This window comes from Homo sapiens, chromosome 6 (genome assembly GCF_000001405.40).
Source record: "Homo sapiens chromosome 6, GRCh38.p14 Primary Assembly".
NCBI lineage: Eukaryota > Metazoa > Chordata > Mammalia > Primates > Hominidae > Homo > Homo sapiens.
Window position 1 is genome coordinate 168,820,861 of NC_000006.12, and position 22,622 is coordinate 168,843,482.

At 46.7% G+C, this 22,622-nt stretch overlaps 4 annotated features.

Moving 5' to 3' along the window:
* Positions 18,933-19,511: an enhancer, noted in NCBI's record as "OCT4-H3K27ac-H3K4me1 hESC enhancer chr6:169239888-169240466 (GRCh37/hg19 assembly coordinates)". NCBI's record gives its function as "activates a minimal SCP1, AML or CMV promoter by ChIP-STARR-seq in primed H9 embryonic stem cells {active_cell/tissue: H9 hESC(primed)}" and the evidence as "EXISTENCE:reporter gene assay evidence [ECO:0000049][PMID:30033119]".
* Positions 19,512-20,091: an enhancer, noted in NCBI's record as "OCT4-H3K27ac-H3K4me1 hESC enhancer chr6:169240467-169241046 (GRCh37/hg19 assembly coordinates)". NCBI's record gives its function as "activates a minimal SCP1, AML or CMV promoter by ChIP-STARR-seq in primed H9 embryonic stem cells {active_cell/tissue: H9 hESC(primed)}" and the evidence as "EXISTENCE:reporter gene assay evidence [ECO:0000049][PMID:30033119]".
* Positions 20,092-20,669: an enhancer, noted in NCBI's record as "H3K27ac-H3K4me1 hESC enhancer chr6:169241047-169241624 (GRCh37/hg19 assembly coordinates)". NCBI's record gives its function as "activates a minimal SCP1, AML or CMV promoter by ChIP-STARR-seq in primed H9 embryonic stem cells {active_cell/tissue: H9 hESC(primed)}" and the evidence as "EXISTENCE:reporter gene assay evidence [ECO:0000049][PMID:30033119]".
* Positions 20,632-20,775: a silencer, noted in NCBI's record as "fragment chr6:169241587-169241730 (GRCh37/hg19 assembly coordinates)". NCBI's record gives its function as "represses an EF-1alpha promoter that drives an FKBP-Casp9 reporter gene in an ReSE screen in K562 erythroleukemia cells {active_cell/tissue: K562}" and the evidence as "EXISTENCE:reporter gene assay evidence [ECO:0000049][PMID:32094911]".

The following is a 22,622-nucleotide window of genomic DNA, read 5'->3' on the forward strand; positions in this document are numbered from 1 at the left end:
ACAAGCATCGTGCTGTATGGAAAGGTGTTGAAACTTCCTGAATAAATAAGGAGATGTCCTTTGTGTACATCTGCATTTGTGAGAGAGAAACTTTCTGGAGATCTCAGCTCTTTGGGCAGCTGCATGTGAGCTGGTGGTGACCCGTTGCTGTTCTGATCTCCTCAACACACTTGGGTTGTCCCTCACGGTGTTCCAGATGCCCACAAATGTAGAGCTGGGTGCCCACACAATCACCAACCTCGGCGCTATGCATTTACACAGTTCCCTTTTGACCGATTCCTTTATGAACACTCTTTGTCTGTTCATACACCTGCTCATAGCTGTTTTACCTGTGTATAAGCAATAGTGCGTGATATAATTTCAAAGGAAGACATTTTGAGTAGTGAATACAAGCAGGTTACAGAGAATACGGTGCAGTGAGATTCCATTTGATATAAAAATGTAAATATATGTACGGAAAGGTTGAGAAGGAGAGAAATGAAACAGAAAGGGAGAGAAAGAGAGAAACGGACAGATGAAGACCAGGATAAAGGAGAACCGGAGAGGACTGAAAACATAGTTCTATTCCCGGCAGGGTCTCTGGGTGGTGGAATTGAGAAAACAATTGTTTCCGCTAGTTGCTCGTTTTGAAATTAGTAATTCACAGGTTTTTCTCAGTTATCTCCTATTAAAAGTTTTAATGGGGCTGGGTATGGTGGCTCATGCCTATAATCCCAGCACTTTGGGAGGCTGAGGCGGGTGGGTCATTTGAGGTCAGAAGTTTGAGATCTGTCTGACCAACATGGTGGGACTCCATCTCTACTAAAATACAAAAATTAGCCAGGCATTGTACCTCACGCCTGTAATCCCAGCTCCTCAGGAAGCTGAGGCAGGAGAATCACTTGAACCCGGGAGACAGAGGTTGCAGTGAGCCAGGATCACACCACTGCACTCTGGCCTGGGCGACCGAGTGAGAGTGAGACTCCTCAAAAAAAAAAAGAAAAAGTTTTAATAAGGAATAGAGCATAACAAAGCAGGAGCTAAGTGAGTGAGAACTGTTTCCACTGGAAGCCCAGCATCGTCAGCAGCAAGTGCCTCTTTAGGAGGCAAAGTTCCAGCCAAAGTCAGGGCCAAAGGTAACAGCAGACCTGGCATACTATGTGATTTTTAAGCTGTTTGTTGTCTCTCATCTCTCTTTATCCAATAGGAGATACAAGTGTTTTTTGTTTGTTTGTTTTTAAATTTTTTTAAAAAGTAGAGATGGAGTTTTGTCATGTTGCTCAGTCTGGTCTTGAAATCCTGGACTTAAGTGATCATCCTGTCTCAGCCTCCAAAAGTGCTGAGATTACAGGCGTGAGACACTGCGTCTGGCCCCAGAAACAAGTGCTGGGCACAGTGGAATGGCACGCCAAGGTGTGGAGGCCGGAGGTCAGTATCCATCTGCACAGGTTTAGGGGAAAGTTGCCCAACACACTAAAGGCCACTGCACAAGACAACTGTCTCTTTATGGTCCCAGCAACTTTATGGCTCCAGCTGACCTGCATGGCCATGTGTCATGTTACACATTACGGCTGGCATGACCCCTCCACAGCCATGTTTAGTCAGGACTGGAGAGCATGGATTCCCTCCAGCACCCAGTTGAGTCTTGTTTGTATCAACACAGATGTGCATGCTGGAGACAGCCCCTACTTTCTTAACAGTCCCAGCAGCTGGGCACAGATCCAGACATCAGCACTGCTGGGAACGGCAGGCCAAGCCGGGCACGCAGTAGGGCCTGTGCCTTGCTCTGGGTGTCCTGTCGTGCGGTGGAGGGTAGCCTCCAGGCAGATCGCCATCCTTGGCACGACCACTGCAGGTCATTTCACACTGGGGCCCCTGTGGTCTTGCATTTCCTCTCCCATCTTTGAGCACATTATAAAAAGTTCTTTGTTGGCCGGGCACAGTGGCTCATGCCTGTAATCCCAGAACTTTGGGAGGCCAAGGTGGGTGGATCATGAGGTCAAGCATTCAAAACCAGCCTGGCCAACATAGTGAAACCCCGTCTCTACTAAAAAAACTTACAAAAAATTAGCTGGGCGTGGTGGTGGGTGCCTGTAATCCCAGCTACTTGAGAGGCTGAGGCAGGAGAATCACTTGAACCTGGGAGGTGGAGGTTGCAGCGAGCCGTGATTGCGCCACTGCACTCCAGCCCAGATGACAGTGCGAGACTCTGTCTCAAAAAAAAAAAAAACCAGCACTTTGGGAGGCCGAGGCGGGCGGATCACGAGGTCAGGAGATCGAGACCATCCCGGCTAAAACGGTGAAACCCCGTCTCTACTAAAAAATACAAAAAATTAGCCGGGCGTAGTGGCGGGCGCCTGTGGTCCCAGCTACTTGGGAGGCTGAGGCAGGAGAATGGCGTGAACCCGGGAGGCGGAGCTTGCAGTGAGCCGAGATCCCGCCACTGCACTCCAGCCTGGGCGACAGAGCGAGACTCCGTCTCAAAAAAAAAAAAAAAAAAAAAAAAAAAAAAAAAAAAAAGTTGTCTCTCTTGTATTTTCCACTATTGAATAGAGTGTGCTTAGGATGAAAATGACAGAGAATGCGATTTTCATTTCTTGATCCGTCAATATTTTACTATGTGTCTGGGATGAAGCACTAATTACCTTAAAACTGTAATTAACTTGTCAAATGTCTTTCCTCCAAGAATCCTGCAAAGGTCTTAAAGGTCTTAAAGGGTGAGTAAGTAATAGTCTGTGATATAATTTAAAAGGAAGGCCACAAACCACTTTTTCTGTTTTTCTTTGATTTCATGGAATAGTCTTCATTCTTTTCTCCTGTCCTCCTATTTGGATACATGTGGCTGCCGTGAGCCTCTAGACGCCCTCCCCCACTTCCAGCACTTGGCTGACGGATTTGCTGGTCTGTGACCCCTGCCAGAGGCCTGAAAATCTTCGCAGTTTATGCAAAGCCAAGAGAGGCTGCGTGCAAGGCAGCTGAGGGGAGCCCTCCAATACGCCAGCATAGGATTTGGAGCTTTGGAAGGTCAGTGGGGCTAAGTCCTTTTCAAGCAAGACAAAGCTGAGGAAACACAGGCTCAGGCCCAACGTCCACAAGTACACATTGCTCCAGAGAGGAGCTGGAGTTCTGGGACCGGCATTTAGTGGAGGACACCCCAGAGCCCACGAGGAGGGAACTGGAGGGAGAATTCAGCCAGTGCTAGCCATAACATCACTCAGCCACAGTGAGCCATGGCTGGGCCTGCCCCTGTGAGGCACAGACACCTTGCTTTTTTTTTGTTTTGCTTTGCTTTGTTTTTTGAGACGGAGTCTCACTCTCTTGCCCAGGCTGGAGTGCAATGGTGCCATCTCAGCTCACTGCAGCCTCTGCTCCCCAGATTCAAGCGATTCTCCCACCTCAGCCTCTCAAGTAGCTGGGATTACAGGCACCTGCCACAATGCCTGTCTAATTTTTGTATTGTTAGTAGAGATGGGGTTTCACCATGTTGACCAGGCTGGTCTCGAACTCCTGACCTCAGGTGATCTGCCCACCTTGGCTTCCCAAAGTGCTGGGATTACAGGCATGAGCCACTGTGCCCTGCCCACCCTTGTTTTAAGGTTGGAATTAATACATAGATGAAAGAACAGTGGAAACCGGTGTAATAAAACTCTTCGGCCACACACTCATTTCATCCCCTCCATCTTCCTACAACTGCCTTGATTTTGTTGATGTCGATCTCAGAGGAATCTGGCCCCACTGACTGTTTTAATAATGATTCCATTCCCCTTCCTGGTGACTGTCAGTGAGTGGGTGTTGGAAAGTGACTGTATTTGGACAGGGCCTTTGAAGAGGTGATCAAGTTACAACAAGGCCACGAGGGTGCCTAATCCAGTCTAACGATGTCCTTCTACGAAGAGGAGATTTGGACACACAGAGATACTGGGGATTTGTGTGCCTAGAGGGACGACCGCGCGAGGACATAGCCAGCAGCCGCGTCTCAAGACAAAGAGGCGGCCCCTGAGAAACCACCCTGCCTGTACCTCGACCTTCGCCTTCCAACCCCGAGAAAGACAAGGACATAGATGTCTGTGGTTACTACCCGGGCTCTGGTGTTAGGGCAGCTGAACCGGCTGAGACTAGGGGCCCTGGACCTGGGACCCTGTCCCCATCCTCCCTCCCTTGTGGTGACATCTTCTGCATATGCAAAGCGCAGGACCTGGAATGAAGCTGCCGTTTGGGCCACAGGAGATAAGGAATTTCCTTTTGATTTCAGCGTGTTTGGGCCAATTTCTTTCTCCTCCTGCCACCTGAAGCTGAAGCGTCCTGTTAGTATCATCACTAACAGGATATGCCTGTAATCTCAGCACTTTAGGAGGCCAAGGTGGGCAGATCACATGAGGTCAGGAGTTTGAGACCAGCCTGGTCAACATAGCGAAACCCCATCTCTACAAACAATATAAAAATTAGCCGGGCGTGGTGGCAGGTGCCTGTAATCCCAGCTACTCGAGAGGCTGAGGTGGGAGAATCGGTTGAACCTGGAGGCAGAGATTGCAGTGAGCCGAGATGGCACCATTGCACTCCAGCTTGGGCAACAGAGGGCGACTCTGTCTCAAAAAACAAAGCAAAACGAAAGAAACAGGACGTCCTGTTTCTGTGTTTAGTATAGTATCTGTGTTAGTATCCACTCTTGCTGTGCCCCCGCTGGCCGGCCTGTCCTGGTCAAACCCTGGCCCTGGGCCTGATGCTCCTCTAAGAATCGCCGCTCTCCCCAGTCAGAGTCCTCATGGCAGCCCCACGGTCAGCAGAGCCACGGGCCACCCTCACCCCGAGTCCCGCTGGAAGCCACTCGCCAAGCAGCCTCTCAGGTACCGCCCTCTGTGATAAACAGGGCACCATGTCCAGGCCAGGAGCCTCCACGAGAGAAAGGTCAGGGGGACGGAGCGTGGGGGGGACCGCGTGCACGAGGCGGGGACAGAGGGTCGGGGGGACGCGTGCACGAGGCAGGGATGGAGCCTGGGGCGGGGGGACGCGTGCACGAGGCGGGGATGGAGCCTGGGGCGGGGGGACGCGTGCACGAGGCGGGGACGGAGCGTGGGGGGACCGCGAGCACGAGGCGGGGACGCAGCGCGGGGGGACCGCGTGCATGAGGCGGGGACAGAGGGTCGGGGGGACGCGTGCACGAGGCGGGGATGGAGCCTGGGGCGGGGGGACGCGTGCATGAGGCGGGGACGGAGCGCGGGGGGACGCGTGCACGAGGCGGGGACGGAGCGTGGGGGGACCGCGAGCACGAGGGCGTCGGCTGCTGGGATTTGAAGGAAGCTCTATAAAGCGAGGGAGCAGGGACCCCCGTTCCTGCCGGGGGTGCCGGGGTGGGGAAAGCACAGAATCTTCTTGAGGCCCTGGGCTGAGTGAGGGGCGCACAGGAGGCGGGAGCTGCACGGGTGACTGTGGGGTGGCGGCCGTGGCCAGAGCGCAGGGAGGGAGACGGGAGGCCACCCGGCTGCCGGGTTTCCTCCTGGAGGCTCCGTGGCCATTTTCCTGAGCTAGAAAACGGGCCCACGCCATCAAGGTGGGGACAGGCCCGGGCTCCCTTCTTGTTTTGAATAAAGACCATGTTTTCCACGTGGCGTAAGACATGGCGTGATGACACTTAACTTCGCACTACTAAAAATACCTTAAGAGATACTTATCTTGTTTAAATAATTTGGAATTATGGCTCCACATTAAAGAAAACAAACTCCAAGCAACAGCTTTTCTTTCTCTCCTTCCCTTGTGAGGTCCGCCGGCAAACCACCAATGTTTCCGTATTCAAGGCCAAAATACCCTAGGGAGGGACCGGACTCCTTTTATTCTTTACATAGCATTGTCAGTGTTTGGGGACATTGGAAGGAAGCTAAGGAAGCTATAGTGACAAACTCCTGCCACTCTCGCGTTCAGAGGTCTGCAGGACAGCAGGCTCGTGAGCCGGGGAGCGGGCTGCATCCCAAAGATGCCCAGGCTTCCAGGTGCCTGAAACCTGCAGGGATCAGTCTAATTGCCTTTCTCCACGATACCATTGCTCTTAAGAAGTGTTTTGGCAATGACTTTTAACAATAGGACGATGGCTGAGTTCCCAGATCTGCATTACGGAGGCATTTTAAAAGCCCACATCTTCCTCAGCTACACCGAGTCTCTCTCCTGATGTCAGTGCTGTGTGGCTGAAAATCAGCTTTTTTAGAAGGCCGTTTAATGTAGAGATTTATAGGGCCGCATGAACGCTGCATTTAAGAAGAATTTTTTTAAAACTATAAAGTATGACATATTTAATGGGGATGGGGCAATGTGATATGATGGCTAAGGCTTTGTAAAACTTTTAAATAAAATTAACACACATAACTTTTAATGCCCCCATGTCAAAGCATCTTAACATTATAAGAAGTAAACACATAAAATCCCATCCCCTTTCAAAGCCGCACTCAAGTTTGGATTCTTAGCTCAGTTTATCAAACGCTTTTTATAAGCCTGGAATGATCACAGAGATGATACTTTTTAATGATGCTAACGTTCTGGTTTGATGTTTTTAATCCAAAGAGGTTAGGAGGTGAAATCTGTACTAACCCTATTACTTCTGATACGAGCTCAGCCGCTCTGGCTCGGTTATAAGCATTGTTTGCATGGTCTGTCTTTTCATCCTTTTACTCTCAACTTGTTTGTGTCTTTCATCCTAAAGACATCCTGCCTCCTCCCGTTCCATGCTCACATGTGACCAAATGAAGCAGACAAAACCCGAGGCTGCTTATGAGGCTGATTGCAAAGCCACAGTGCAGCCAGGCTCCCTGCCCCGAGCGTCTCTGTGCTGGGACAGGCTCCAGGCCCCTCGAGTCTGCTAAGCCCTTCCCCAAGCTTTAGCCCTGTTTCTTGTATCACTTTAATTCCATTTCTTATCTCGACATCTTCAGCAGGGAAGGCTGATTTACCAGAGAGAGAGGGAGAGAGACAGGACATGAGAACACTGTTGCCTGGGGTTGAAAAAACAGTTTTTTTTTCCTGTGTATTTGTACTCCATTTTTTTGTTTTGACAGATTTTGGGGAGTCTAATTTACATAACATAAAATTCACCTTTTTTAAGTGTGCAATTCAATGATTTTCTTGTAAATGTACCGCATTGTAACCACTACCACAGTACAATTTTGGAACATTTCTACCACCCGAGATGATCTCTCGCACGCAGTTGCAGGCAATCCTCATTTCCACCTAAGGCCTGGCTAACCTCTCCTCTAGGTTTTACCTCCACAAATGTCTTTTCTGGAGATTTCCTATCAACAGGATGCTGTAAATTGTCTTCTATTTTTAGCTTCATTCACTGAGCACAGTGCTTTGAGGTTCAACCCCATTGTAGCACATAGTGCCTTCATCTTTGTTACTGAATGGCATTCCATCGCGTGGATATACCACAGTCATTTATGGAGTCACAGGGGATGAGCATTTGGGTTGCTTCCACTTCTTAGTTATGATGGCTAATGGCACTATGAACACTACTGTGCAAGTCTTTATGTGGACAGAAGGTTTTATTTATTTAATTTTATTTCATAGTGAACTATACTTGACATAACACACGTATACAATTATTATATATGTATATTTTATCAGTATTGATAAAATTAACACCCACACAGCCCATGTCAGCATCTCAAGGTTGAGAAATGAATCATTTTCAGTATACAAAACACCTCTGCATAAGCCATCCATGATTCTATCCTCTTCATTCCCAAACAGAAGTAGCCATTATCCTGCTTCTGGGATCATAATTTCCTTGCTTTTCTTTATGGTTTATTGTACGTGCATCCACAGAAGAATATCTGGTAAGTTTTACTTGTTTTTGTAGTCTGTAAGTAAAATGATATTGTATACATCTTTAGTGGTGTCTTTCTATCCCATCACTGTGCCATTTATCCAGATACATGCATGTAGATAGGATTTGTTCACTTTTACTGTTGTATAGTTTTCAAATATATAAATAAATCACAATTTTAGAACAAACCTGCCCTGTTGTTGATGGACTTAGGGTGGATTTCAGTTTCTGGCTGTGCTGCTGTGGACTTTCTTGTATTTATCTTCTGAATGTCATGTATTTATCATGTGCCTGTCAAAAGCTTCCTGGAGTGTATTCCTAGGAGAATTGCTAGTTCTTAGGATATTTTCATTTTCTACTTTGTAAGTAATGGCAAACATTCCCAAAGTGAAAATAATGATTCACACCCGCACCAACAATGTAAGCATTCCTGTGGTTTCACCTTAACCTTCACTCTGTATTGGTTGATTTTTTACTTTTTTCTATTTGGCCGGAAGGTAAAAATATCTAATTTTGGTTTTATTTACATTTCTTTGATTTCTAATAAGATTGAGCAATTTTTTGTTGTTGTTTTTGGACATTTTGTTTTGCTGTTTAGCAAAATGTCCAGTCAGGACTTCTGCCCATTTTTCTTTTGGAATTTCTCATTTTGCAGAATTGTTCAAGATTTTATTATGCTCAGGAAGCCACGTTGTATGGAGGAGAGTCAATACTAAGATTTGAGTTGGCTCCAAAGATGGGATTTCCTTTCAGCTTGGCGCAGGGGTTTTACTAACACATAATAGATGGACATATTTGGGGGGTACATGTGACAACCTAATGCGTTCGTATAATTTGTAAAGATCAAATCAGTGTACTTGGGATTTCTATCACCTTAAATATTTGTCTTTTTATGATTTTTAAAAATCAATTTTATTGAGGTATACTCACACAAAGAGTACATAATGTATGATTCTGGTTTTTTGAAATGCTAGGAAAGGCAAAACTCTAAGTGACCGAAAGCCCAGCAGTGTTTGCCCACTTGTAGGGATTGGAAGCATTGGCTGCCAAGGGGCATGAAGGAACTTTCAGGGATCATAAAATATCCTGTGTTGTGGACGTGGTTGTGGTTGCATATTTTTATTTCTTTTGGGTAGATAGCTTGGATAAAATTACTGGGTCTACTGGGTAACTTCATAAACTTTTTAAGAAACTCAACTATTTTCCAAAATGGCTAGGCCATTGCACACTCCAGTCAACACTGTGTGAGGGTTCCCACTTTCACCAACATTTGCCATCGTCTGCCTTAGTGTTACAGCTAGTTTCATGAGTGGGAAGTGGCATGCAGTGTTGTTTTAATTAACATTTCCTTAATCATAAATGATATACATCTTTCCATGTATATATTCTTCTCTGACTTCCCTTGATAAAATGTCTATTATATCTTTGTACATTTTTTAAAAAGATTGTCTATCTTAATTGGTTTGTAAGTTCTTTGTATATTATGAATACAATTCTTTGTAAGAAATAAGATTTGCAAGTATTTTTTGTAAATTTATGGCTTGACATTTTATTCTTTTTATGGTGTCTTTTGAAGCACAAAAATTTTAGATTTTGATAAAGTTCAATTTTTTTTATTTTATGGATTTTGCATTTGGTGTTATATCTAAGAATATTTGCATAACCATTTCAAAATTTTCTTCTGTTTTTTTAAATAGCTTTTTATAGCTTTAGCTCTTAAATTTAGACAATGATCCATCCCGAGATACTTTTTATGTGTAATGTAAGACACGGTCTGAATTCAATTTGTTTGAACATTAATAAATAGAAATTATTTAAAAAGAACCAAATAGAAATTCTGGAGTGAGTTGAGAAGTGCGATAGGTGAAATAAAACATCGCTAGAGGATCTTAACAACAGATTCGAGTCAGTAGAAGAAAAAACCGGAGAACTTGCAGGTAAGTCAACACATAGTATCTCATTTTAGGAGCAGAAAGAAAAAAAGAATGGAGAAAAATTAATAGAAAGTCAACTTGTTTGCCTACAGATATCCAATTGTCCCATACGATTTATTGCAAAGTATAGCACTTCATAATTGAATTTTCCTGGCATCTTTGTGGAAAAACAATCGACTGTAAGCCTTAGTGTTTATCTGTTTATCTGTGGGATTTTTCAATTATACTCCATTGATCTATATGTATACATCTATCTCAATATCACAATCTTTTGATTTAGTGGAGCTTCCGAATAAGTTTTAAAAATGGGAAGTGAAATTCCTCCATTTGTTTTTCAGATGTTTTGACTATGTTGGGTCTACGCATTTTCATGTAAATGTTAGGAACAGCTTGTCAGTTGCCACAAAAAGCTTGCTGGAATTTTTACAGGTGTTGAATTGAATATATGTATCAATTTCACATGAATTTTCATCTTTAAAATATTGACTTTTCCAACTCATACACATGGATTGTTTCTCTATTTAATATGATCATCATTCATTGCTTTCAGCATATTCTACAGCAAGCTCGTCCAACCCACGGCCTGAAAGTCACATGCGGCCCAGGACAGCATTGAATGCAGCCCAATGCAAATTTGCAAACTGTCTTAAAACATAGATTTTTTTTTTTTGCGATTTTTTTTTTTTAAAGCTCATCAGCTATTGGTAGTGTTAGTGTATTTTATGTGTAGCCCAAGACAATTCTTTTTCCAGTGTGGCACAGGGAAGTCAAAATATTAGACACCCTTGTTCTATAGGTTTCAATGTAAACATCTTACCTTCTTTCGAAAGTTTATTTCTAAGTATTTTATCCTTTTTAATGTGAATGGAATAGTTTTCTGAATTTCATTTTTGGACCATTCATTGATAGTATGTAGAAGTGAAATTGTCATTGTTATCGCCATCTTCTTTTTTATATTATTTTATTATTTTTTTGAGATGGACTTTCTCTCTTGTCACCCAGGCTGGAGTGCAATGGCTCGATCTCTGGTCACCACAACCCTGCCTGCCTGGTTCAAGTGATTCTCCAGCCTCAGCCTCCCAAGTAGTTGGGATTACAGGTGCGCGCCATCACGCCCAGCTAATTTTTGTATTTTTAGTAGAGACAGGGTTTCACTATGTTGGCCAGACTGGTCTGAAACTCCAGACCTCAAGTGATCCACCCACCATGGCCTCCCAAAGTGCTGGGATTACCGGCGTGAGCCACCGCGCCCATCACCGTCTTCTTCTTGATTGGCCTTGTATGTAAATGAAAGCCTGGGTATCCTCCTGCTCCTGATTTTAGGGGGAACATTCTGCTTTTCTCCGTTAAGCATGCTGTTAACCGTGGGTTTTTCACAGATACGTTTTATCACATTGGGGAAGTTGTCTCCTATTACTAGTTTGTTGAGAATTTATTCCCTGAGTGGATGTTGAATTTTGTCAAATGCTTTTTTTTTGTCATTCATTGAGATAATCATGTATTTTTGTCCTTTATTAAAATGCTGTATTACATTACTTGATATTTGGATGTTGTACCAACCTTGCAGTCCTGATTTAAATCCTACTAAGTTATGATATATCATATTTTTATATGTTGCCAAGTTCAGTTTTCTAGTATTTTGTTGAGAATTTTTTGCATATGGGTTCACAGGAAACATTGGTCTATGGTTTTCTTTTTTCATGATATTTTTCTCTGGCTTTGATATCAGAATAATACTGGCTTTATAGAATGAGTTGGGAAGTATTCTTTTCTCTTCTACATTCTAAAATAATTTTGTGAAGAATTAGTATTAGTTCTTTAAGTCTTTGGTAGAATTTGTCCTGAAGCCATCTGTGCCTCAGATTTCCTTTGTGGGTTGGAAGATTTTTCATTATTAATTCTTTTTATTTCCCATAGAAATATTCTGAGTTTTTTTGTTTTGAGTCATTTTCGGTAATTTGCATGGCCAGAAATTTGTTCATTTTTATCTAAATATCTATTTGTTGGCCTAAATGTGTTCTGTTTTTCCTCATTATTCTTTTGGCTTCTATAAGGTGGGTAGTCATGTTTACTTTTTTATTCCTGATTTTGGTAATTTTTTTCTTTTCTTTTTTTTCTTGATAGTCTAGCTAAAGCTTAGCCAATTTTTTTGATCTCTTTACAGAACCAACTTTTGGTTTCATTTATTTCTGTATTGATTTTATTTTCTATTTCATTGATTTATTATCTAATCTTTGTTATTTCCTTCATTTTGCTTCCCTTGGGCTTACTTGATACATCTTTTCTAGCTTCTGAAGGTGAAAACTCAGGTGATTTTATTGAGATCTTTCTTTTTTCCAATAGAGCCATTTCAAGCTATACTTCTCCAACAGCCACTACTTTTCCTGCATCTTATAAAAGCTATAATGTCTTTTTATTTTCATTGAATTCAAAATTCTACCTTTCATTGAGATTTCTTCCTTGAAATAATATTAGAGTATATTGTTTGTATTTGCGTATTTTCTGAATTTCTTCCTGCTGTTGATTTTTAATTTAATTTCTCTGTGGTTGAAGAACATTTTTTACATGACAATTAATTTTATATTGATTGAGGCTTGTTTTAGAACTTAATATGTGGTCTATTCTGGACCTAAAGATAGATAGTGTTTGAACAAAGGTCAGTTCACCAGGAACTTGTCATAATCCAAATACGTTATATCCTCTGATCTGTTCGGCTCAGAACTGTTTATCAACAAATGCACCGCGTCCCTGCCCTCGGGTCCTGTCTGTGCACAGTGCGCCCAGAGTTCCTTCTCTTTTTATCCGCCCATTACCTTCCCATTCAGTTGTTGTTATTCTTTACCATTTAGACGGCATGTGTGCATGTGTGTGTATCTTTTCTCCAAAGGTGAGATAGTTCACTGTTAATAGTTCATTTGGATAGTTACCTTAAGAATTTGGGACTCAAAGTTAATACTTTGATTTACAGGTCTGTGTATTTCAATAACTGTAAGACAGTGTATAAATAAACACAAAGACACACATACACACTAAGGGAAAGTACACTGGGACATTTATTCCAGGAAGACAACCTCACCAGAGTTCAGTCCACTGACATCTGGCAGCTCCTCTTTGGGGGTTCTGTTACTGAAAGAGGAAGGGGTTAGTTCTCAAGTAAACTCACCCCTAACCTGACTCAAAATCAGTACTCTGGAGGCTAGAAGTATAGCAAGGGGCCAGCCTAACAGGTCAGCAATTTCTACAGCAAGAAAGAGTAAAACATTGGCCACATTACGTAGTGATGTTAAAGCCAACGATATGAAATATATTATAGGAAAAGCAATATGTTATAATTTCTGAACCGAGGATGAAAATATTTCCTCGCATTTAAGCATATTCCCAGCATCCCTGGAGATATAAAAAGCACGATTTGCACAAAATGTGGTATGTGAAATATTTTAACAATTGTAAGTCCATAAACAGAAATAATTGTTCGCATTTTGAATAATAAAGTAATGAACGGCTTCCAGTTGAAGGGCTACGGCCGTCCGTGACATTCTGTTCCCTCCTGCCTCAAGGCCCCTGGCACTCACACTTGGTAACATCCTCCCTTTGAGTTGGGACAAAGTCCCCGCGGCTCACAGCCTTGGCCTCAGAGCCTGCACCTCCTGAGGCTCAAGCTGACAGGTAGTGGTTCAGGTGCCCTGCACATTCAGAGGCCAGTTGGAGAGGAAGAGAGCAGGAAAACCAGATGTAGGAACTGCATGGAGCAGCTCCTCTCCTCCTTCCCCTCCTCTCCCCCATCTTAGGGAAAGTGCTAACCGTGTCTGCTTCACCCTGCCCAGCTGCAGGAGTCCTGATGAGTGGGGCGCACGCCTACCCTCAGCTCTTGGCCCTGGTCCTGACGGTGGTGGAGTTTTAAACAAGCATTTTGGAATAGTTTGTTGTGCACAAATACATTTTTTTTTTTTAAAAAAACTGCCTTACACCTGCCTGTCCCAGGAATTCTGAGGACATCTGTATTTTTTTGTTTGTTTTACGATCCTTAAGAATTAGGAAATTTGTCCTACCCTCAGAAAGTTTTTTTTTCTTTTTCTTTTTCTTTTTTTTTGAAAGTTAATGATTACCTATACAACCACAAAGGATAAAACATGTTTTGAAATTGTTAAGTATAATTGGAAAACATTTAGTCTCTATTTTAGATTATTTTGAGTTTAAATATAGTGATAGTTGTGTGGGGTTTTTTTCAGTGTATGTGAAGCGTGTTTGTATCTGCAGGTTAGCACTTTGGTCTTTCTGGTGTTCCTGGCTTTCAGGTAGCTACAGAAGCATGTGGTGTGTCTCAGTGGGTTTGTATCTGGGAGCAGCGAAGGAATGTAAATATCAGTGATGTTACCACCAATAAAACTCTATGCCATAAAATACCTCCCTTGTTTTTCAGAGGAGATGCACAGACTCCAGCCTTGGGTAAACAACAGAGCACAAGCGTGGTGCCCGTTAGTCAGCTGGGCCAGAGAGTTCAAAGCCAACCCACATACACTAGCAAAGATAGTCCAGGGTGAAACTGGGGATAGAGAGGCTCAGAGAGTCCCAGGAGGGAGGTTGTATGTCTCGTTGTGTAGGAGTCCTCTTTGCAGTGGAGAAAACCTGCTCCTGTTAACCATTCCTTTTCCGCTCCTTTTATGAAAGCCATTGTGTTTATTTAGTTCAGCAATGCTTCACTTCACTGGGTTCTTCCAAGTTTTGCTGATCTGCCCACGCCACCTTCCTGGCACCTGAAAGCACAGTGTTTTATTCCCTTTGGTTAAGTTTTACAATTAAAATTATGAATTAGGAGACGAAATCCTAAGTTCACACCAACTAGTTTGGGATTGAAACCGAATTCAAAGATTGACCAGGTTTAAGAAGCTCCAACCCCTCTCTGAATTCTTTTTTGATGCATTTTTAATTGATCCATAATAATTGTGCATCTTTATGGGGTACAGGGTGACTTCTCATACGTGCGTACAGTGTGTAATGATCGGGTCAGGGCCATCTCAAACACCTCAAACACTTGTCATTTCCTGGTGTTGGTGACATTTCAGAGCTTATCTTCTACCTGTTTTGAAATATAAAGTAAATTATTGTTAGCTATAGTCACCCTACTCTGCTGTCAAATATTAGAGCTTATTCCTTCTATCTAACCGTCTGTCTGTGCCCATTAAGCAGCCTCTCTTCACCTCCCTCCCTCACATCCTTCTCAGCCACTGTAACCAGCATTTGATGCACCACCTCTGTGAGATCCACTTTGTAAACTCCCACGTACGAGTGAGAACACGCGCTGTTTGTCTTTCTCCACCTGGTTTATTTCACTTCACATCGTGACCTCTAGTTCCACTCATGTTGCTGCAAGTGACAGGATTTCATTCTTTTTAGGGCTGAGTAGTATTCCATTGTGTCTACATATACGGCACATTTTCTTTATCCGTCCAGCCTTTGATGGACACTAGCTTGATTCAGTATCTTGGCTACTGTGAGTTGTGCAGCAGTGACCATGGGGGTGCACATACCTCTTCCATGTAACCATTTCCTTTCCTTTGGGTATATGCCTAGCAGCGGGATTGCTGGATCATAGGGGAGTTCTATTTTTAGCTTTTCGAGAAGCCGTCATACTGTTCTCATTAGTGGCTGTGCTAACTTACATTCCCAGCAACAGTATATGAGAGTTCCCTGTTCTCCCCATCTTTGCCAGCATTTGTTATTTTTTTGTCTTTTGGATAACAGGCATTCGAACTGGGGTGAGACGATGTCGCACTGTGGTTTTGATGACATCGAGCATTTCTTTGTAGACTTTTTTGGCCATTTGTATGTCTTCTCTTGAGAAATGTTTATTCAGATACTTTGGTCATTTTTAGATCAATTTTGTGTTTTGTCGTTGTCGTTGTTGCTGCTGTTCAGTGGTTTGAGTTCCTTGTATATTCTGGATATTAGTCCCTCGTCAGAAGAATATTTTCTCTTATTCTAGAAGTTGTCTTTTCACTCTGTTGATAGTTTCCTTTGCTGTGCATATGATTTTAGTTCAATATAACTCCCATTTGTCTATTTTTTGTTTTGTTGCCTGTGCTTTTGAAGTTTTGGCAAATAAATGTTTGCCTCGACAGATATCCTGAAGAATTTCTCCTATGTTTTCTTCTATCAGTTTCCCGTTTTAGGTCTTACATTGAAGTATTTAATCTGCTTTGGCTGTATTTTTGTGGATGGTGAGAGACGGGGTCTAGTTTTGTTCTCTTGCACATGAATATCCAGTTTTCCCAGCACCATTTATTGGAGAGACGGCCCTTTCCCATTGTTCGTTCTTGGTGCCTCTGTTGAAGAAGAGTTGCTATAAACACAGAGATTTACTTTTGGGTTCTCTATTCTATTGGTCTATGTGTCTGTTTTTATATTGATACTATTTGCTGGTAGAATGCATTTTTTTTCTATTTAACTTCATAATAATGCTATAAAGTAGATGCTGTTATCTCTGTATTAAAGATAAGAAATATGAGTCCTGAGAGGTTGTGCCTCGGTCAGTCATGTGGGTTAGGGCCAGACTCTGGCTGGGGCTGTTTCACCCTAAAGCCATGCTTGTCTTTCCCACAATGTGAAGACTGAAGGTTCTGTTGAGAAAATATTGTGAGAATTTTAAACATGTGGAGACACTGATCTAAAAACAATAGGACCAGTAGGAACACTTTCCTCTAGTGGAAGAAGATAAACAACAAATTCAGAAACTCAAGGGTACCATGACGAAAATACGTAAAAGTGACATGAGAGTAACTCAGAGTGCAGTGTGGGGTGAGGGCAGGACCGAGTCATCAAGACTCTTAGAGAAGAGCTCTCTGAAAGGGTGCCTTTGGAATGGAAATCTGATTAATAGAGAAGCGGCTGTGAGAAGGTCTGAAGGCGGATCTTCCCAAGGGGGAGGAATAATTTATGCAACTGCTCTGAGGCAAGCTTGTGTACTGAAAGCCTTCATCAGCTTTCTCTAGTTATGCTCTTTGCAGCTGAAATAATCTGAAAGTATCCCCTGTCCAGAACACAGCCCTGTCTAGAGTCACTCAAGAAAGGGGCCTCAGAACCGTTGTGGCGCTTCAGCCTCCAGTCTCATGGATGCAGTTGATCACCACCATCACCACCAGCCCAGCGGAGGTCAGTCCTTCCCCAGGGCTTTTCAGGTGTTTCTGGCAGCACCTGTCATGTGCTCTGCACACCCTGATGCTGTATGTTTGTGTGTGCGTATCCACACCATGCAATCACGCAATGAACAGGAACACAGTTTACATTAAGATTTCCCTGGAGCTCAGCACTGTGAGGGTTGGGAGCGAGCACCGTGGCTCGATGCCTTATCAGGGTGGTTGCACATCTGCGCTAGAACAGAATTCTGCAGGCCTCAAAGTCTATTAAAAAATCAAAGGAATGGAAACTGTTTACCCAAACACGAAAGGGAGGCTTTTATTCACGTGCACCGGCGGAAGCGGCCGGTTTGTTAAACACCTGCCCCTCAGCTGTGGCTGGCCCTTCAGGCAAAGCTCTGCCACTCAAGGTGTTTGGAAAACACTGTCCAGACGAGGCCGTCATGAAACGGCTGCGCAGATGTTCAGCTGCCTTTTAGCAGAACAGATGGATTTTATGATTTACAAAAGTGAAACCTTTCGCTCTCTTGGTGTTTTTTTGTGTGTCCTCTCTTCATCTGGGTGCACACAGGCCCCGGTGACACAGGCAATCCCAGAGCCCGCCCACGGCACCCAGACCGAACACAGCCAGCGATGCCTCCACACAGCCCAGATTAGAATTCTGGTTTCCTGGAATAAAAATCACACATTTCCCCAGGAGCTTCACTCTTATCTCTTCTTTTTCTCCCAGCATCTTTCCAATTTACTCTAATATGGTTACAGAAATGCGTCCAGTTCAAAAATATTTTTAAAAACCAATCATGAACTCTCTTTAGTGTAAAGTGAAATAAAATTCTGGGTATTAGCTAAACCTTTATTTGACATCTCAAGACATATTAAAGTTGAATTCTTTTTCACTGCTCTAAAATATTGTTTCAATGCAAGCAATAGGGCCCCTACTGTCCTGTTTTAATAAAGTGATTATTCCAAAGGAATGATCTGCTCTTGGATGAGAACATTTACATATGGCACTCTTTCTTCCAGGCAGGTATTTCCAACTCTGCTGTTTCTAAAAGGTCTCGAGAACTAGAGTGTTGGACGTGACTGAGATGGACTGAGAACACATTCTTCCCCTTTAAGTTATTAGATTCTCGGTGGTCCCGGGCAAGGATTGGGAAACGTTTCATTCAACAGGGATTGAGCCTGTCGTGCTGTTGAGAGAAACATCAGGTGCATTTCAACATCTTCTCATGGAATTTCTGGCCATCAATCACTGCAGGACTGTAGGAGGGACCCTGGGGCCCGGGCAGTTCATGACACGGCCTGGAGGGAAGCATACCGGCCATGGCCTGAGTCCCAGAGCAGGACGGAGGCTGCGCCTGTCAGGGGGGCTTGCCAGCCTGCAGAGTGTAGACATCGTGTAAATGTCAAGGAGTGTCACAGGACAAGCGTGTTGCTGAGAGAAGGTGTCCTGTGCGAGGTGTGCAGGGGTGATAGGTGTTGAGGATGCTGAGTCCAGAGGGCAGAGGCCTGGGGCGGTGGGCACGTCACCAGCAGAGAGGCCGCTGGAGACCACAGAGGAAGTCGAACCCAGGGGACAGAGCTGTGTCCCAGAATGAGCTGACGGTCTCCATGGCTGCTTAGGTAGAGATGACAAGGGGGAAAGAGAAAGAGGCTTGGCAGTTTCTGTCCCAGGAAGAGGATGGTTCCACTAAAAGTAGAAGGCCCTGGCCCGCTGGGGCTTTCTCAGGGGCTGGAGGGGAATGCGAGGAGCTTGATGTTAGACACGGCGGCAAAGCTAATGTAGGTGGAGATGCACCTCTCTAGATGGACAGCTGGCAATTTGCTGGGGCGTGGACGTCACGTTGAGTCCATTGAGACGCAGGCCTGCAGGGAAGAGAAGTCGGGTCAGGGCGTTCTGCTCAGAGGCCTGAGGTGGGGAGGAAGGGGCGTGGAAGGAAATGCTGGAGGTTGGAGAGTGAGTCAGGAGGAGGTTGTCTTGGGGAGCAGTCACGGGGCCACAGGCATCTGAGATGGGGAGTGGAGAGCGGAGCACTCACAGGGCCACAGGCATCTGAGATGGGGAGTGGAGAGGGGAGCGGTCACGGGGCCACAGGCGTCTGAGATGGGGAGTGGAGAGGGGAGCGGTCACGGGGCCACAGGCGTCTGAGAGACGGGGGAGCACGAGGCCCAAGAAGGCCGATGGGTTTAGGGTGGGAGGAGCTCCCTCTGGAGATCAGTGTTTCCACAAGGTGGTAGGGGCAGAGGAAGCAGGATGGGTGCTGATGAGGACGCGGTGCTGATGAGGACGCGGTGCTGATGAGGACAGGGTGCTGATGAGGACAGGGTGCTGATGAGGACAGGGTGCTGATGCGGTGCTGATGAGGACAGGGTGCTGATGAGGACAGGGTGCTGATGAGGACGCGGTGCTGATGCGGTGCTGATGAGGACGCGGTGCTGATGAGGACGCGGTGCTGATGAGGACAGGGTGCTGATGACGCGGTGCTGATGAGGACAGGGTGCTGATGACGCGGTGCTGATGAGGACAGGGTGCTGATGAGGACGCGGTGCTGATGAGGACGCGGTGCTGATGAGGACAGGGTGCTGATGAGGACGCGGTGCCGATGAGGACGCGGTGCTGATGAGGACAGGGTGCTGATGAGGACGCGGTGCTGATGAGGACAGGGTGCTGATGAGGACGCGGTGCTGATGAGGACAGGGTGCTGATGAGGACAGGGTGCTGATGAGGACAGGGTGCTGATGACGCGGTGCTGATGAGGACAGGGTGCTGATGAGGACGCGGTGCTGATGAGGACGCGGTGCTGATGAGGACGCGGTGCTGATGAGGACGCGGTGCTGATGAGGACAGGGTGCTGATGAGGACGCGGTGCTGATGAGGACAGGGTGCTGATGAGGACAGGGTGCTGATGAGGACAGGGTGCTGATGAGGACGCGGTGCTGATGAGGACGCGGTGCTGATGAGGACAGGGTGCTGATGAGGACGCGGTGCTGATGAGGACAGGGTGCTGATGAGGACAGGGTGCTGATGAGGACGCGGTGCTGATGAGGACACGGTGCTGATGAGGACGCGGTGCTGATGAGGACAGGGTGCTGATGAGGACGCGGTGCTGATGAGGACAGGGTGCTGATGAGGACAGGGTGCTGATGAGGACAGGGTGCTGATGAGGACGCGGTGCTGATGAGGACGCGGTGCTGATGAGGACAGGGTGCTGATGAGGACGCGGTGCTGATGAGGACAGGGTGCTGATGAGGACAGGGTGCCGATGAGGACAGGGTGCCGATGAGGACGCGGTGCCGATGAGGACGCGGTGCCGATGAGGACGCGGTGCCGATGAGGACGCGGTGCCGATGAGGACGCGGTGCCGATGAGGACGCGGTGCTGATGCGGTGCTGATGAGGACGCGGTGCTGATGAGGACGCGGTGCTGATGCGGTGCTGATGAGGACGCGGTGCTGATGAGGACGCGGTGCTGATGAGGACGCGGTGCTGATGAGGACGGCGAAGGTCAGGAAGTGCTAGTTCCGAGCGAGGAGGGAACAGGAGGTGAGCGGGCTGGGCTTTAGGGTGAGGCGAGGCTCATGAAGACTAAAGAGCCAGGGAGGCGCAGGAACCAGGGAGTCGAGGATCCAGGGCTCTGCCGAGGGGGCCTCAGCGGGGAGGCGTGAAGCCGAACAGAACGACAGGCAGAGGTGGAGGCTGATGCTGACTGTGTGCTGAAGCCGGCCCTGTGAAGTAGGCAGCCCCATCACTTGGTTCACGGACACGCAGTTCTCAAGGGCGTGCAACCTGCCAGGCGCTGCAGAGCGTCCGGGATGAAAACACTAACATGGATCACTCGCAGGTCCCCCTGGAGTCAGGAGGGATAACCCGGAAAGAGGCCCCTGTGGTGTGTGCCGCAGCCCACAGGGCAGTTCAGTGCCCAGCAGCACCAGGTGGCAGGAGGTGCCTAGGGCAGGCGCCCCTGTGCAGGACGCTGGGGGACACAAGGGGTTTGGCTGCAAGACAGGAGGGAGGGATGGGATGGGGACAGGAGAGAGGCACGGGGACAGGAGGGATGCGATGAGGGACCAGAGGGATGAAATGGGATTGGGGACGGGAGGGAGGGATGGGGACAGAAGGGAGGGAAATGGGATGGGAGGGATGGGATGGAGACAGACAGGAGGGAGGGATGGGGTACAGGAGGATCTCAGCTGGGGGACAGGAGGGATGAGACAGGGTAGTTGGGCTTCCAGAAAGGCCAAGGAGAGCTTCTCTGGAGTCTGTACAGAAGCAGGAAGCTCAGTGAGGACACCCCTGGGATCCTGCTGATGAGGGAGAAGAGAGCTTTACACTCAGGCCCAGGCTGTCCCCGCTGGCTGCTGTGGCGCTCGGCTCTGGGAGAGGCCCGTGCTGCTTTTCCTGCGCGACACCAGCAGGAGTGATGTGGAGGAGAGGCTGACAGGCTCAGAAAGTGAGGGACGGGCTCCATCCAAATCGATGGGCAGTGAAGATTGGCATGGTGCTGAGAGCCCAGGACAGCTGCACAGGGACCACACTGACCACGGCACCCACTCAGCATTTTCCCTCGTGGGCCAGGATGCTTATCCTCCTCTGAAGGGAACCCTGTCAGTGCTGACCATCTTTTACCAGGTATTGGAGGATGCTTAGCAAAATCCTTTGACCAAAGGCTCGACATTCACAGATTCTAGACGTTCCTATGAAAATACCTACTTATTTCCACTGGACTGAACTCTGATTAAAATAAAAACAAGGACACCAGGAAAGACTACACAAAGCCTGTATGCCCCATAGTTGCCTCGGAGAACCCAGGAATCATGCAGGTGGGCCTGGGGAAGCCCAATGTGTGTGACACCATGTGGGGCTGGCGCATCCCTGCTCTGACATGTGTGTATCCCTGCCGTGATGTGTGGGGCTGGCACGTCCCTGCTGTGACATGTGTGACACCACGTGGGGCCGGCGTGTCCCTGCTGTGACAAGTGTGACACCACGTGGGGGCCGGCGTGTCCCTGCTGTGATGTGTGTGACACCATGTGGGGCCGGCACGTCCCTGCTGTGACATGTGTGACACCACGTGGGGCCGGCGTGTCCCTGCTGTGACATGTGTGACACCACGTGGGGCCGGCGTGTCCCTGCTGTGACATGTGTGACACCACGTGGGGGCCGGCGTGTCCCTGCTGTGATGTGTGTGACACCACGTGGGGCCGGCGTGTCCCTGCTGTGACATGTGTGTATCCCTGCCGTGATGTGTGACACCATGTGAGGCCGGCGTGTCCCTGCTGTGACGTGTGTATCTCAGCCATGGTGTGCGACCCCACACGGGGGCTGGTGTGTCACTGCTATGACGTGTGTGACACCACGCGGGGGCCAGTGTGTCCCTGCTGTGACCTGTGCGACACCATGCAGGTGCTGGCATGTCCCAGCCATGTGTCAGGCCACTGCTGTCTGTCAGTATCACCCCAGAAGCTCAGCATGAAGACAGCATGGCTGCCTGAATTTATAGATGAGAAAATGAGGCTCAGCGTGGTGATCACCTTATGAAATCATGGGATACGATTTAAATGAGGGTTGGAGGAGGCATTTGAACAGTGTCACTGAGAACGTGGCATGACGCTGTGTCTGACCAGCAAATGCGAAGGTTTTATGTGGCTTGTGGACCCGTTTCAGGCTCTCCTGAGAGACGGTACCTGGGAGCAGTGGCCTGAAGCACCTCCTGGGGCCTCTAAGTCCCGTATCGAGTGGCCGGCGCCATGTCCCATCACTCAGGGT